Source organism: Homo sapiens, chromosome 11 (assembly GCF_000001405.40).
Source record: "Homo sapiens chromosome 11, GRCh38.p14 Primary Assembly".
Classification (NCBI taxonomy): Eukaryota; Metazoa; Chordata; class Mammalia; order Primates; family Hominidae; genus Homo; species Homo sapiens.
This window is the reverse complement of record NC_000011.10, coordinates 45142790-45157417: the sequence shown is the minus strand read 5'-3', so window position 1 is coordinate 45157417 and position 14628 is coordinate 45142790. Positions and strand designations below refer to the sequence as shown.

The 14628-nt window shown below is 52.8% G+C and overlaps 1 protein-coding gene and 1 long non-coding RNA gene across 10 annotated transcripts in view, besides 2 other annotated features; one reads left to right on the top strand and one right to left on the bottom strand.

Annotated features, from left to right (window-relative positions):
- The window catches only part of PRDM11 (PR/SET domain 11), a 140951-nt gene that overhangs the window by 77692 nt on the left and 48631 nt on the right, over nt 1-14628 (bottom strand). For 3 of the 7 annotated variants that reach the window (NM_001384648.1, XM_011520225.3, NM_001384649.1), the window contains exon 1: nt 10541-10779. The exons of 1 other annotated variant lie outside the window; for it this stretch is intronic. The gene's annotated coding sequence lies outside the window, so the exon portion shown is untranslated. Of the gene's footprint in view, nt 1-9836; nt 10076-10540; nt 10780-14628 lie in introns of those variants that run through there. 3 more of the 7 variants (NM_001256695.2, NM_001256696.2, NM_001384650.1) reach the window with 1 other exon arrangement.
- Nucleotides 10029-10218: a silencer, noted in NCBI's record as "silent region_3286". NCBI's record gives its function as "represses an Ori minimal core promoter by ATAC-STARR-seq in GM12878 lymphoblastoid cells {active_cell/tissue: GM12878}" and the evidence as "EXISTENCE:reporter gene assay evidence [ECO:0000049][PMID:35858748]".
- Nucleotides 10299-10378: a silencer, noted in NCBI's record as "silent region_3285". NCBI's record gives its function as "represses an Ori minimal core promoter by ATAC-STARR-seq in GM12878 lymphoblastoid cells {active_cell/tissue: GM12878}" and the evidence as "EXISTENCE:reporter gene assay evidence [ECO:0000049][PMID:35858748]".
- Nucleotides 10635-14628, top strand: part of LOC105376652 (uncharacterized) — a 40299-nt gene continuing 36305 nt past the window's right edge. For 2 of the 3 annotated variants that reach the window (XR_931241.3, XR_931239.3), the window contains exon 1: nt 10635-12364. This is a non-coding gene — a long non-coding RNA (uncharacterized LOC105376652). Of the gene's footprint in view, nt 12365-12456; nt 14132-14628 lie in introns of those variants that run through there. The other variant, XR_931240.3, reaches the window with a different exon arrangement.

The following is a 14628-nucleotide window of genomic DNA, read 5'->3' as shown; positions in this document are numbered from 1 at the left end:
GCCTCCTGTCAGATCACAGGCAGCACTAGATTATCATAGGACGCGAACCCTACCGTGAACTGCGCATGCGAGGGCTCTAGGAGTGTGCTCCTTTGAGAATTGAACGAATGCCTGATGATCCGAGGTGGAACAGTTGATGATCTGAAGTGGAATAGTTTCATCCCCAAACCATCCTCCCCGACCCCGTCCATGGAAAAATTGTCCTTCATGAAATGGTCCCTTGTGCCCCAAAGGTTGGAGACCACTGCTCTAAGCCACCTACTCAGCCATGGCCACCTCAAGTCCACTGCCACCTGGACAGAGTTTCTGTGGCGCAAAGCTAACTACTTCTCTCCCCTGCTTACAAACCACCGACAGCTCCCCCGTGCCTCCAGGGCAAAGTCTCAATTCCTTCACACAGCATTCAAGGCCCTCCCGGCCTGGCCCTCACCTGCCTCTCCCCAGCCAACTCCACTGCTTCTCTAAACACCCATGACCGCTTGCCATTCCTGAACCATGGGGTCCTCCTGTTCCTGCCTTTGCACATACTGTTCCCAGTGCCTAAAATGCCCTTCCCTCTCCCTCCGCCTGGCAAACCCCCGCTCCTCCCTCAAGGTCCAGCTCATCGTCACCTCCTCTGGGAGGCCTAACCAGATCCTCCCTCTCCACCTCCAGGGCGAAATGACTTGCTCTCCTCTGCCCCATATCCATGAGCAAGCCAGGCGCATCCTACCTTCAATCCCAAGACCCAGGCAAGAGCTGCTCAAGAAATTTGAGGTGAAGTGACTTCTTTACTTTTTAAGTTTTCCAATCTGATGCCAACAGATATTTTTGTGAAATAAAATTAAAAATGATGTGGCAATGTCAAGTTGCCAAACAAGTTTCTCAAGGCTTTCTCTCAAAGTCTGCATGTCTCTCACCATACACCCATCCAGCACAGCTCAGGATGGGCAGAGGTCTGCGGACCACGGTCTCCATTGCCTGGCAGAGCCACTGTGCTCCCAGTGTTCCAAGAGGAACCTGGTGCAGGGCCCATCAAGAGTCAGGTGTGTACGTCTGGACCCCAGAGCACAAGGGGCCGCTCCATGAACATCTGCTGACCCAGACAATGGATGGGAAGGTTTGAAAATGCTGTAACATGGCCGGTCCTTATGCTAGGCATCCCCATTCTTCAAGTGGCCGCATAAAGGCACAGAGAGGGTGACCTGCCTGAGCCACAGTGGCTCATATGCTGTACTTTCTTTACACTGCCCATCATCTCAGGGGAAGGAACTTGGAATCTGTAAGTTAGCCATCCAAACTCCTGCCCAGCATGGATGGCTGACCTTATCTCCCACTGCAGTCCCAGCAAGCCAGTCCCATGCTGTGATAAAGAGCTCAGACTCTGGAATCAGACAGACCTAGGTTCATATCCTGGCTCAGCCTTTCATAGCTGTGTGACCTTAGGTGAGTCACCTCACTTCTCTGGGCCTCAATGTTACCTCTGTAAACTGCACCTAATAACACTAGCATCATGGGACAGCTATGAGGGTTGAATGGAACATGCCCGTCCACACTCATTTGGGCTCGGCTGTCGCTGATGTTTATAAAAGGCCCAGGGTCTGGCAGCCAGACACTCTGCCCTGGATCCTCCTTTTCTGCTTGCTCTTCTGGAGACCCAATATCTCCTCTCTGGGGTCAAGAGAGACTGCCGGTTTCCCTGGCTGCTAAGCTTGCTGATTTCCCTTGAGGACTTCACCTCCCTGCCCTCTGCCTCCCTCAGGCTAAGGGGCTTTTCCTTCCTCCCTCTCCACCCCTCCTTGAGGCACCCCTGCACCCCCTCTCCAAATGCAAACCCCCTCTGGCTGGTCTTTCTTTCTCTTGGAACACAGCCGGCCTAAAGAGGGGCACCCCTGGCCCCTGGGAAAATGACACTCTGTTTGGGTTGGAACAGTAAAGGGCTGTGAGGTCAGGGACAAGCCCCAGCCAACCACCTCCCGGCAACCCCCAGAGCCCGCCCTCTCTGTACCTTGGGCCATGACGGTGCTGAGTCCGCCCTGGCTGGGTCCCAGTTGGCTGCTCCCAAGAGAAGCTCACTTCCTTCTGGGGCTGAGGGTCTGGTGGGCTCCTCCCCATGCCCCTTGGCCATCGTGGAGCCTCCCAAGCCGGCCATCTCCATCCCCTGGCATCGGGCAGCCAGATCCTTTCCTGGCCCTCACCCCTTTCCCTTGGGGAAAGTGAGAGATAGTGGGAGAAGCCACTCCGGGAAAGCTGACATTGTGGGGGCGGTTCCATATTTACTTGCTCAGTGACGTCCATACCAGCCCAGCTCAGTGCCCTAGTCAAAGTGATCCTCCTGCCTGCTGGGCCCACTCTCGCCCTCAACTCTGACACAAGCCTGGGGGAAGGCGCCCACCGGCCACTACCCCCCTTTCTACCCCAAGCTCCTTCCAGCCACACTCCCTGCAGTAGCTGGACAATCTCTCTGTTTGGGAAGCAGGGTACAGAGGCTACAACAACACTCTCTGGGGTCCCCATTCTGCTCTGATTCCAGAAGGACTGGGGTGCAGAGGAAGGGGTGCTAGATTTGGGGTTAGAATGTTAGCTTGGTTACTTCCTAAACTGTATGAGCTCTAAGTCACTTCCCCTCTCTGAGCCTCAGTTTTCTGAGCTATAAAATGGGGGTTTTAAGAGCCAACCTGCCTGGGCTAGTGATCAGGGATCGGGAGAAGGTGCAGTTGGGAGGAGGAGAGTTCTGGTTGCTCTTATGGATCGGATGAGGTAGGGGAGACAGGACTGGAAGGGAAAGCTCTAGAAGGCACTGAAGGCTCCAGAGGCCTGGGGTGCCTCACTTTGCAAGCAGGGACCCCCCTACCACTAGCACCAACCCCTGATCTAAGGCTGCTGCTTGGGAGCAGGATGGGCAGCAGCTATCTGCCCCCACCCCTACTCCACTTCCCGTACCCAGTATCATTTCAGCGGAGGCTCCGGGTCTGTTTGAATGTGTCCGCAACTTCTGACCTGTGAGGTTCCTGGGATGGGGAGAAGGTCTGAAACCAACACTCTATAAATCAAATCCTACTTTTATTGATTTATTATTTTTTGAGACAGGGTCTCACTCTGTCTCCCAGGCAGGAGTACAGTGGTGCGATCTCAGCTCATCACAGCCTCGATCTCCCAGGGTCCAGTGATCTTCCCGCCTCAGCCTCCCAAGTTGCTGGGACTACAGGCACACATCACCAAGCCCAGGTAATTTTGTTCATTTTTTGTAAATACAGGGTCTCACTATGTTGCCCAGGCTGGTCTCAAACTCCTGGACTCAAGCGATCCTCCCACCTCAGCCTCCCAAAGTGCTGGGATTATAGGCATGAGCCACTGTGCCCAGCCCAAATCCTATTTTTAAATCACCCAAGAAACCTTCTGGGAATTATTATGTAATACAAATAGGCAACCTCAAAGACTTCCTTTATCAATGTGGTTTTCTTAAGAAGATTGGAAAAATGAGATGATAGCTGTGTGATCTTCAGTTGGTCATGTAACCTCTCTGAGCCCCAAGGTTCCTCATCCATATGTGGATGCGGGAGTAACCTCACGGGGCTGTTGTCAGTGTCCTGGTGCTCCATACATGTTCCTTCTAGGTGTTTACTGCCCCAGAGATAACAGCACCTTAAACTCAGTCCTGCAAACACAGAGGAAAAAATCTTCCACAGAATGTAGGGCAGGACTGATATTACTGAGTCCATTTACAGAAAGGAAACTGAGGCGCAGTTAAATATTTGGCCTTGAACACAAGACAGTGGGGCACCATGAGTGTCTGAGGCTGTGGCCAGATCACCTTTAAGTGCAGATATGCTCATTGTCTTGTATTCAGGCACTGCTGTCCCATCGCCAGCAAGAGGCATGAGAGGACCCCCATGCCTCCCCCATGTCCACTGGCCTCACACCCAGGAGATGGCCCAAGACTGGCCCTAAGCCATTCACTGGTGCTCCGTCTTTCTCCGGAGCTGTCCATGCAGCCCTTGGAGGCCAGTAGTGGCATTGCCCCCGTTCTGCAGATGAGAAAATGGGTAACTCCAAGAGGGACAGCCTCCTGCTCAGATCTCACCGCTATCTGGTGCCAGAAGCAGGACTGAACCTGGGGCCCACGCCCTCTCCAGGGAACAGTGTGGACCCCACCAGCTGGCTCCCTGGCTCCTTCTCAGTTCCCTTTCCCTGCCAAGGGACCAGCCTAAGGCACTTTGCTGGATTTTATCTGCGGGTCCCCTCGCTACTCAGAAGCAGAAGTCAGGCACACTCGGGGAAACAACTGGCCTCCAGAACCAAGCCCCAACCCATCTGCTCTGACCTTCGCTGTAGAGGGCCAAATTCCCCTACTTTTCCCTGGGAATGGTCACTCTCAGCTCTCACCTTCATCCTCTCCTACCTCAATTACTACGAAAGCCTCTTATTTGGCCTCCCTGCCTCCAGCCTTATGCCCAAGCCACTGCTGTTTTTCGGAACATGGATCTGATCACCATGTCAGCTTCCTCCTCATAAAACCCTCTGAGGCTCCCTGTGGCCCAACAGACAGATTGTAAACTCCTCAGCACAGCAGTCAGGACCTGTTACAGCCTAGTCAAGGCCAAGTATCCGGGTTAGGCCGGAGGGCTCAGGAATCAGGTGCCCTGAGTTTGAATTTCATCACCAACTGTGAAACTGTGGGCAAGTGATGCTACCTCTCTGAGTCTCAGTTTCCTAAACTGTAGAATGGGGAAATAACAATACCATGATCAGGGCATCGCTGTGAAGATTTAAAAAGACAAAGCAGATAAAGCACTTTGAACACAGTAAGTGCTCAATTAATTCACTCATTCCACAAGTATTTGAGGCTCTAGTTACCATATGGCATATACTATTCATACAGCAGTGAACAAAAGTAACAAAAAACCCAGCTCTCTGGGAACTTGCATTAAAATGATGGGAGGCAGACAGAAAACAAAATAAAAAAGTAAAACATGGGGCATGGGATAAGTGCTATGCACTAAAAAGAAAAAAGCAGGAAGCAGAGAGAGGGTGTTGGGGTGGGTTGCAATTTTAAACAAGAAAGTACCCATGGCCAGGCCCGGTAGTTCATACCTGTAATCCCAACACTTTGGGAGACTGAGGCAGGTGGATCACTTGAGGTCGGGAGTTCAAGACCAGCCTGGCCAACTGGTGAGACCCCAGTCTCTACTGAAAATACAAAAAATAGCCAAGTGTGGTGGTATGTGCCTGTAGTCCCAGCTACTCGGGGGCTGAGGCAGGAGAATCACTTGAACCCAGGAGGCGGAGGTTGCAATGAGCTGAGATCATGCAACTGCATTCTAGCTTGGGTGACAGAGTAAGACCCTGTCTCAAATAAATAAATAAATAAATGTGCCCATGAGAAGGTAGTATTTGAGCAGAAGTCCTGGGGGAGGCAAGGGGGCATGCCATGGAGATAACTGGGGTAAGAGTGATCTAGGGAGAGGATGCAACCAATGCCGAGGACCAGGATTAGTGTTACTCATACTATTATTGTTATTTTCTTTCCAGCCTCATCCACCTCCATCTCCTCCCCTTACACTTACTCTCTACCCGAATGAACTACTCAAGCCTCCCCAGTCCCTTACATGCATCCATGCTTCTGGACAAGCCATGCCCTGGGCCTGAAGCCTCTCCCCTCCTGTGCTATCCAAATCCTACTCACTCTCCAAAGGCCAACCTAAAGGCCTCCTCCTCAGCGAAGCTTTCCCTGACTTATAGTCAGTGGTTGTCTCCTTTGCGTCCTTCTGCTGTAAGCTGCAACTGCCTGGTTATTTGCCTATCTCCCAGGCTGATCTGTGAGCTCTGGAAGGGCAAGGACTAACTTGCACGTGGTACCCCCTAGGCCCAGCACAGTGCCTGGCACAGCAATGGCATACATGTCCTGACCACCTGGTCAATGAATGAAGGACCGAATGGTACCCAGATGGGGGTCCAGGCCTCCCCACTTACAGAGCCACAGTCTGGGGACACCACCAGCAATGTGGCTGCATTAAGTGAACATTGGCCTTTTCAACACAGATACAAATCTGCAATAGGAAACAGGCTTTTTAGAAAACAACAGCACAATTTTCTTTTTTCTTTCTGCACGGCTTGTTTTTCCAGCACAGCTCCAGGGTCAGCTGTCGGGAAGCCCCTCCCAGGCCTCACTCTGAGAACATGGGGCTCTGTGGCCTCCAAGGAGTCTCAGCCTCCAGCAGGAGGTAGAGATGCACCAGGCAGTTTTAGACCAGCCCTGGCACCAGGGCCACCAGTCACCTCTGAGCCAAGAACCCCATGCTCAAACCCCGATGTTAGGTAGGTGTTACCCCACTGGAGGCCCGCTCTCCCATGACAGCTTTATAACACCACATGATGCTTCCAAATGGGTTTGGGGTTCTCTGCCCTCACTCCAAGAAGACATACCAAGGAGATGGCCTCAGACTGCCAGGGTTCTAATCCTGGCCACACCATTAACCCTGGGTCCCTTACCTCATCTTTTGTAGCCATAGTCTCTCAATCTGTGAAACAGAAATAATATCTACCTTGTGGAGCTGTTTTCAGTGCAGGGTATGTGACATGCTTAGAACCACAGATAGCACACAATAAGCCCTCAAAAAACATTAGCTGCCATCATCAACATCTTCTTCTTCCTCTTCATCTTCCCCAGATCTCCTGTTCTGCAGCCCCTTCACTGAATCATATACTATCCAGATGAGCAGGGACCTCGAGTCAATGTTGAATCTCATCCTCTTGCTTTCCTGGAATATCCTATGCTACATCCCTGGCACACAGTCCCCCTGGGCCATGGACACCAGTAAGGATGGGGAACGTACCATCTGTACTCTACAAGCCAGTCATTTTGCCAGCTATGCCTAACACCTCCTTCCAGCTGGACCCACCAGCCCGCAGCTCAGGGAAGTGGTGTTCCCTCATCCTGTCCCCAGCCCTCAGCACACAGTGGGCCTTCTATCTATGCTTAAGGATTCAACAGAAGGTGTTTGGTGAGCAACTCTCAAGTGCAAACCCAACAGCACACTCAAAGCAACCCTGGTAGAGTCTGATGGAAGAGCAAGGCTGCAACCAAATCATTACACCAATAAGTGGGAAATTGCTATGGATGTGAGTGCTCCAAAGGAGAGGTAGGTGGGCCAAGAAAGCTATAAAGAAGGGAATTCAGCCTAATCAGGGAGGGCTTCCCTGAAGAGGGGATGTGAAGATGGAGGAGGAAGGATGAGGAGGCCTCATCAGGAGAGGGGGTGGAATGCAAGGTCAGGGCAGAAGGAACAGCATGAGGAAGGCCCATGTGAGGCAGAACATGACAAATGGGAGGGACAAAAGATGGTGTCCCTGCAGAGTCTGGAGGGCAGCTGGATTTCTGTCATTCTCCTCACAGCAGGGGGAGTCCCTGAAGGTCTTTCAGGCAGGGGTTTATAAGCTCAGATATGCATGTCGAAAAGATCACCCTAGCTGCTTTCCAAGTCAGGGTCCTCTCTCTGTGCATTAACTGCACATGCACTACTTGTCTCTCTGCCTAAAATGCCTCTCTAGTCCCTGCATCGGTCAGCACAGGCTAAGTTATGCTGCAGTAACAAACAGCCCCAACAGCTCAGCAGTTTAAAACAGCAAAGGTTTAGTTTTCACTCATGTTGCATGTCCATCATGGGTCACCAAGGGCTTCACGCACGGAGTGACACAGGGACTCAGGCTGGCAGCAGCCACCACCATCCCGCCTTACTACCAGTTGCCATGCCACAGGGAAAGTGCACTGTGGAGGGTCTCACACCAGCAATTAAATGCTGTGGCCCAGAAGTGACGTGAATCACTGTCATTTATAATTCACCAGCCAGTCATGGGGCCCCCACCCAAGCGCAGGTAGAGCTCCAGTCAACCTACTGTGGAAATGGAAGAACCGGAAATAGTAAGAGGAAAGCACTAAGGACCACCAGACACTCCCATCCCACTGTGCCCTTTGCTAACCTTAATTTATTCATTAGATGACAACAGCTCAAGGATTTGAGGAGGAAAGGCCAGCCTATGTAGGAGAGATCGGGGTATGGAGTTCAGAGAGATCTAGGAGAGGATAGAAGATGAGGTCAAGGGCAGGGGCCAGATCATTCGGTAGCTTTTAGGTCACTACACCAATTTGGTTCTTTATCCCCAACACACTGGAAAGACTTCTAGGTGTTTAAAGCAGGAAATGGGATGCCTGATATGATCCTATTTGGAATGGATCACTCTGACTGCCATGAGGGGGTGACTGCAGGTAGACATTAGGAGGCTCTTGCTGTTGTCCTGGGGAGAGACAGCGATGGCTTGACTACAACACTGGGGAAGAGGGGATGGAGAGAAGTGGATGGGTTCATTTGAGAGGATAAAGTTATCTGGGTCTGGAGATGGAGTAGATTGGGGTGACAGAGACAGAGACACCAAGGCTTCTGCCTTAAAGAGTAGTGGGACAGTGTGCTCTTGGCCAAGATCAGAGCCCTAGAAGAGGTTTAGAGAGGAAGATTATGGACACCTTTGGCCACTGTGGGTTTGTCATGCCTATGAGACAGCCAAGAGAGCAGGCCAAGAAGGCAGCTGAATCCACAGGCAGGACTCCCGACTCCTACCCCAGTGTTCTTTACTTTATACTTGCCAACAACCTGGAACCAGGGAAACTCCCTGTAAGTCCAGGAGAGGGCAGATCCAAATAGGAGAAATCCTACTTGACACCAAGGAGAAGAAATTGATGGAACACATCAACCCAAGAAGTCTAGACGACAGAACTGTAACTCAGGTCAAATGAGTCCATAAGTGCAGAGGTGATGGCTATCATGACCAATCTAGGACTCCTAGGACAACTGAGGGGAGTCCCTCATCTTTGTGAACGTCACCAGGGAAGGAAACGAGACCCTGCCACCAGCTGTTCCTTGGGGCCCTGTCAGTTTGAGACTGGATGGACCACGGTGGGGTCTGTGGGGGCAATTCTGATATTCCCAGGTCAGTACCTTCTGCCGTGATTCTGGGGGAGAACACTTCTTAAACAGTATGCCAGGCCCTGGAACAGGCATTTCATCTTTGCTATCTCATTTAATTTCACAACTTCCTTGCCGGGCAGGTTTTGTTGGACTCAGGGATGGAGACACAAGGCTCAGAGAGGCCAAAGACAACGATGTGAAGTCCAAAGTCAGACAGTGACTATGAGGAGGAGGTAGAATTCAAAGAGAGAAAGCCTTTCCATTAAACTGAATACAGCAAGAGGTCTGGGCTCTATTCCCAGAAGGGAAGGTTTCTACACGTGCCCTATAGAACTCTGCTTGTCCACCTTTCAGAGAGTCGGCGGGCAAAGACTGTGCCCTGCTCCCCAACTACGACCCTACACCTCCAACAATGACCCTAGGAAAGCCCGAACCTTCCTCCCTCCCAAGAGGAAATGTGGGCAAGGACCAGCTTGGTTGCTACAGGCATCATGCTCCACAGAAAATTCTTCTGTCCCCAAACCCCCAAAGTTTATAGGGTTTCCAGGTACCAAGAGCAATCTCTCATCATTGCCTCCTGGCCCCACGCACAAAGGGCTGGGTGTGTTTCCTTACAGCCACTCTAAATTATACAGCACAGCCTTTCTCCACACGAAGCAAACGTCTAGGAAAGAGGAGACGTTTCACATTTTTCTCCCCTAAATCCCAGCCCAGCCTGGGGGGTTCTAAGCCCCCATCTCCCAACTGGGCTCTAGACACACACCAGCAATTTTTCACCAGCATCGCCCAAGACATTGGTATTCTCTTTGCAGCGACTCGCCTAGAGCACGCTGGCCTTGACCGGAGAGAGGTCATTGGCCGCTAAGTTTCTGCAGTTTCTGCATAGGAGAGTACCTTGGGGACTGCGAGTGGGGGGTGGAGGCTACGCTCCGGAGAGGTTTCCCGAAGAGTCTACACCGCAACTGACACTTAAAACGCATTCCAGAAATGCCCTCCGGCTCGGCCACGCTTCGCGGGCAATCGCGAACCGCGATGGAGAAGGCTTCGTCGCATCCCAAAGGACGCCTCCCACCTTCATCCCCGAGCACCCCGCAGCAGCCCCCGGCGCGGGGCCGAGGGCGTCCGCGAGAACTAGGCCGGCGGCCGCGGCGAGCCCTCTGGCGTCGGCGTCCGCGCCCCGCCCCGTCCGTGTCACCGCGTTCTCATTCCGAGCGCTCGGCCCGGGCCGCCACTCCCATTGGTCGGCGGCCACGTCCGTCAGCGGGCGCGCCGCTTGCGGAGAGAAAAGGCTACATTGTAACAAGGCGAGGAGCGAGCGAGCTGGGAGGAAGGAGGCGGAGGGCGGCCCCCGGCTCCCGCGGCGGCGGCAGCTACCTGCCGAGGGTTCACCCACCTCGCGGCCACGGCGGGCCGCCCCCCACCCCGCGCCGGCGCCGTCCGGACCCCCGCCCCGCGCCCGCGCCGAGACCCCCGGCCGCCCCCGCCCCCAGCCGCCGCTCCCGGCCCCCGCACCGGCGGCCCCCGCGCTCGCTGGCAAACTGCCGAGCGCTCTCCGAAGCCATTTTCAATGGCCACATTGGCTACCGGGGCTGACTCACCTTCCCGGGAATGCTGCGGCAGCCGCGGGGCCCGGGCGGCGAGAGCGGCCCGGCGGGCGGCTCGGCGGAGGCGGCGCGGCCTCGGCTGGCGGCCCCCGCGGAGGGAGCGGCCGCGCTGCGGGCGCGCTGGTCCCCGGCGAGGCAAAGTTTCAGCGCCAGCCTCGGCGCGGCGGCGGCGGCGACTCGCTGCTGCTCTCCTCCCCTGCTTTGACCACCATCTTATTAGTACAGGAAATGACATGGAAAACGGAAGAAAGCGGCGTTTGGGGCAGACGCGGACCCCCCAATTCAGGGGCCGGAGCCGGGACTCACCAGCCGCGTCCCGACCCGGCCCCGGAGAAAACTCCCGGGGCCCCTTAGGCCCGCGCCCTGCCCGGAGGGGGGAACCCGGCTCTCCAAACCCAAAGGGAGAGGGAGCGTTTTATAATCCAGCCCGTGGAGAAATCGAGAAAAAAATAGATGAAAAAAAGAAAAGGTTAAGAGAGAACTTTCGAACTGGGATACTTTTTTGGGGTCAGAAGTAAAAGTTCTCAAATTTTAATAAAGTCATTGTGAGGGGGGCTCCCTGGCTCTCCCGGTCGCGTGGCTGTCCATTTGGAACCAAATAGTCGGGGGGAGTCGACGCGTTTGGATTTTTAACCCTTTCAGGGCTCCGCGGCTGGCCCCCTCCCGGTCCCATTTAACCCTTTGAATGCTCAGCAGTTTGGAGATACAAACTGAAGTTGCGAGACGCAGGCGTCCCGCGAAGGCTGAGGGTGAGGGGCTTGGGGTTCGTTAAAAATATTAACTCTTTATGTGGGGTTGCGGTTTTGTAGTCACGAATCGCACATGTTCTTCAAGTCAAAATATGTTACAGAGGGAGAGAGATTCTGAGAACTGGAGGGGCTGGTCCCTGGCTGGCTTGGAAAAGATGTTTAAGCGGCATTCACTTGCTCGATTCCTCAGTTTCTCCATCTGTGAAATGGGATTCGACATCACAGAGAGGGGGTGAAGAGGGAAAGACTGGGCCGGGGGTGGAATTGTCACAGAGTGCTTGAGTGCTTGACATGCTTTCCTGAGCGCCTGGAAAACTGACAGGTTGCGATGGGGCTGGAAGCCTTGGAGGAGGGCAAGGGACACTGCAGGGTGGCGTAACCAGGACAACCATTCCCCAATCAACCCCTTTCTCGTGGCGTCCTCTACAAGTCCTGTGGCCCAATGGCGACGTCTCTCCTACCAAGGGAGGATGCTCTGTGCAAGCTCCAAAATTGGGGCAGTAAACCCCAGTTGGTGATTCCCAGGAAGGCACCTGGGCGAGGCGCTGTCCAGTGCTTTCCCCAAACATCCACGAAGCCCTGCAAGAGTTGCCCAGACGGCCCCCAGAGGGTACTACCCCAGGGAAGCCTCCTCCCAAGGCGGAAGGAGTTCCGTGTCAACCTTGCTGCTGGCGATCCGCAGATGGGCGTTCATGGTCAGATGGGCGTTCATGGTCAGATGGGGGTGCTCATGGCTTTTGGAATCTGGATGTGGAGCTGGAGGCGGTGGGGGTGATGAGGGAGGGAGCACTGTGGGTACCACATCATTTGTTTCCCTTGACTCTGGCGTCACAAACACAGCTTCTTGGAATCTCATGCCTGTTACTGGCTGTGTGATCTGGAGCAACTGGCTTCACCTCTCTGAGCCTTTATTTCCCACATCTGCAAAGTGGTGCACAGTAATACCCACGTTCCTGGCTCTGTGTAAGGAGCCATGAGAGTGTATTTAAAGGGCCCAGCACCCAGCTGCTCTCAGTAGATGCTCAAGAGACAGTAACAACCCTATCGTTATATGAGGTTCAATGCAACTGTAAGTTTCCTGAGTATTTCTCTGCTTGGTGCCAGGCAGAGTGTCGGGTACTGGGGGACGGGGGTTGGGGGAGGGGTTCCACGATTAGAATGACAAGATCCTTCAGGCAGGTCTTGGTCTGCCCAAGAGATGAAGGCACTCGCAGATAACTTCAATTAATTCAGAACTGAATGCACCTCCAGTTGCACTGAGCATGGTTTTGGATGCCAAGTGCCCGGCCGAGAAAAGAGCACTGAGGAAGGAGCCATTTGTTGTTCCTTTTGAGGAGAAAGATTCACCAAGGAAGTAATGTCAGAGGTAGGCCTGGAATTTCCACCAATGGTAGGATGGCATTGCCAGGAAGGCAAAGAGCAGAAGCAAAGACCTCGAGGCGTCAACGTACCCAGGGTGTTGGACATGTGTCCTGCAGTGACTGGGGTAGAGGGTGAGGCAGAGATATCGGAGATGAGGGCAAAAAGAGAAGTAGATAAAGGAGGGGAGTGGTCCCATCCTCCAGAGAGCAAAAAGATCTTTAAGAGAATGAGCTGGCAAGTTGGAAGTGAGGTAAGGAGGGAATTTCTTGTGGCATTGGTTTTCTATTTAAATCTCCCCATCCATTTCTATCCTGGCTTCCTTTGCCAGGAAGCCGTAGGTCCTCAGCTGCATCTGTAGGGTGAGACTGGGTCCTCAGGCATTGCAGGCTGGGGAGTCAGCGCTTCAGGCGTCACACTGGGACTTGTCCAGGGGCTGTGGGGAGCAAAGAGATGCGGTGTGATCCAGAGACCCAGGTCTGAGTCCCAACCTGTCGCCTGAGGCATTTGACTTGTCCTCTTTGGGGGCCAGTGTTTTCCTGCATGGCATGAAGAGTTGGGACCAGGGGTTCTATATTTTGCCCTCAAGAAACTGCCCCTGTAGTTACATAGTCAAGGCCAAGGCACAGGAAGGAATCTGAAACAAGGCTGGGGGAATTGTTGGAAACATCTCAGAAGGGAAGCCCTAGGCAGTTGGAGGGTTGACACATGTGCTCTGGGTCAATGTGGGCAGAAAGTGGGCAGAAAGTGGTCCCAGACCCTGAGTGTGATCACCACGGACAAGCAGTCTAGACAAAGCACGTCTTGTGAGGCAGTGCCTCAGTTTCCCTCTGTGGGCTGAGTTGGGCCTGAAAGTCAGAAGTAGGGATGAGATAAGAGCTCCACTGGCATTTCCTGAGAACTTAAGGGAAGGGGAAGGAGAACAGGATTGAAGCGAATAGGGCATATGGTACACACCTTCTGGGTTATTACCATCTATACTCAATAATCTCAATAATCCAAGAAGGATATCATCATCACTATTTTTTGCAGGCAGAGAAACCATGTTCAGAGAGGTTAAGAGACTTGCCCAAGGTCACACAGCTAGTTTGAGGCAGGGTGAGATTCAAACATAGGTCTGCCTGACTCCATTGCTCAGTGTCATCTGCTGTTAGTCATTTCTGGTTCATTGTCCTTTTCCATAATGCAGCTTTTCAGCCTAATGGGTGGTGAAATATTTCCTTAATTTCTCCCTTGAGCGTATCTCACAAAAAGGAGCTGACCAGAACTTTGTGATTCAAGGCCAGGTACATTATGACCTCTTCTTGCAAAAAATGTACTAACAATCCCAGTCACCTCCAGGTCCCTGTGAAGGCTACTGAGATACTCTAAATGAATAGAGTTCACCTCTTTAGAAGGAAAAGTCCATCTGAGGCCTTCCCTCCACCCCCTACTAGTAATAATGACACCAAGCAAAATACTTCCTGTTAGCTCCAAGGTAAATGCCCCCTGGATCCTAGAAGGAAGAGTCACTGGGGATTCACTTCCACATTTGTTGTAAAACAAGGACATTGTTTATTGCACATATGACCTTTCCTGAAAGCACAAGGGCAAAATTTCAATAAGGATTTAGTACCTGGAAAAAACTAAGACTGAAACACACTGCATCTTCCCCAAGGAACTGGCAAGCATCTTCCTTGCTAATAAGAAGAGCTCCGTAACTGATCAGCCTTCCCTTCTTGCACGGGTTGCCAGGAAGCTCAGAGCCAAATTCCACCTTCACTTCTAACAGCTTTGGCAGTTGCATCCTTATTACTGCTTTACTGCTTCTAATCCTACTGGCTCAGCCTTGCTTTCTCTGCCTTTTATTAAAGATGTTCCCCTTTTTAATGGTAAGAGATAAATGCTTTAAATAAATCCACATTTGGAAGAGCTGCTGAAGGGACCTGGATTCCACAGGCCTCATGTTAAGCCAGGCACAGTTCTGTTCTGATC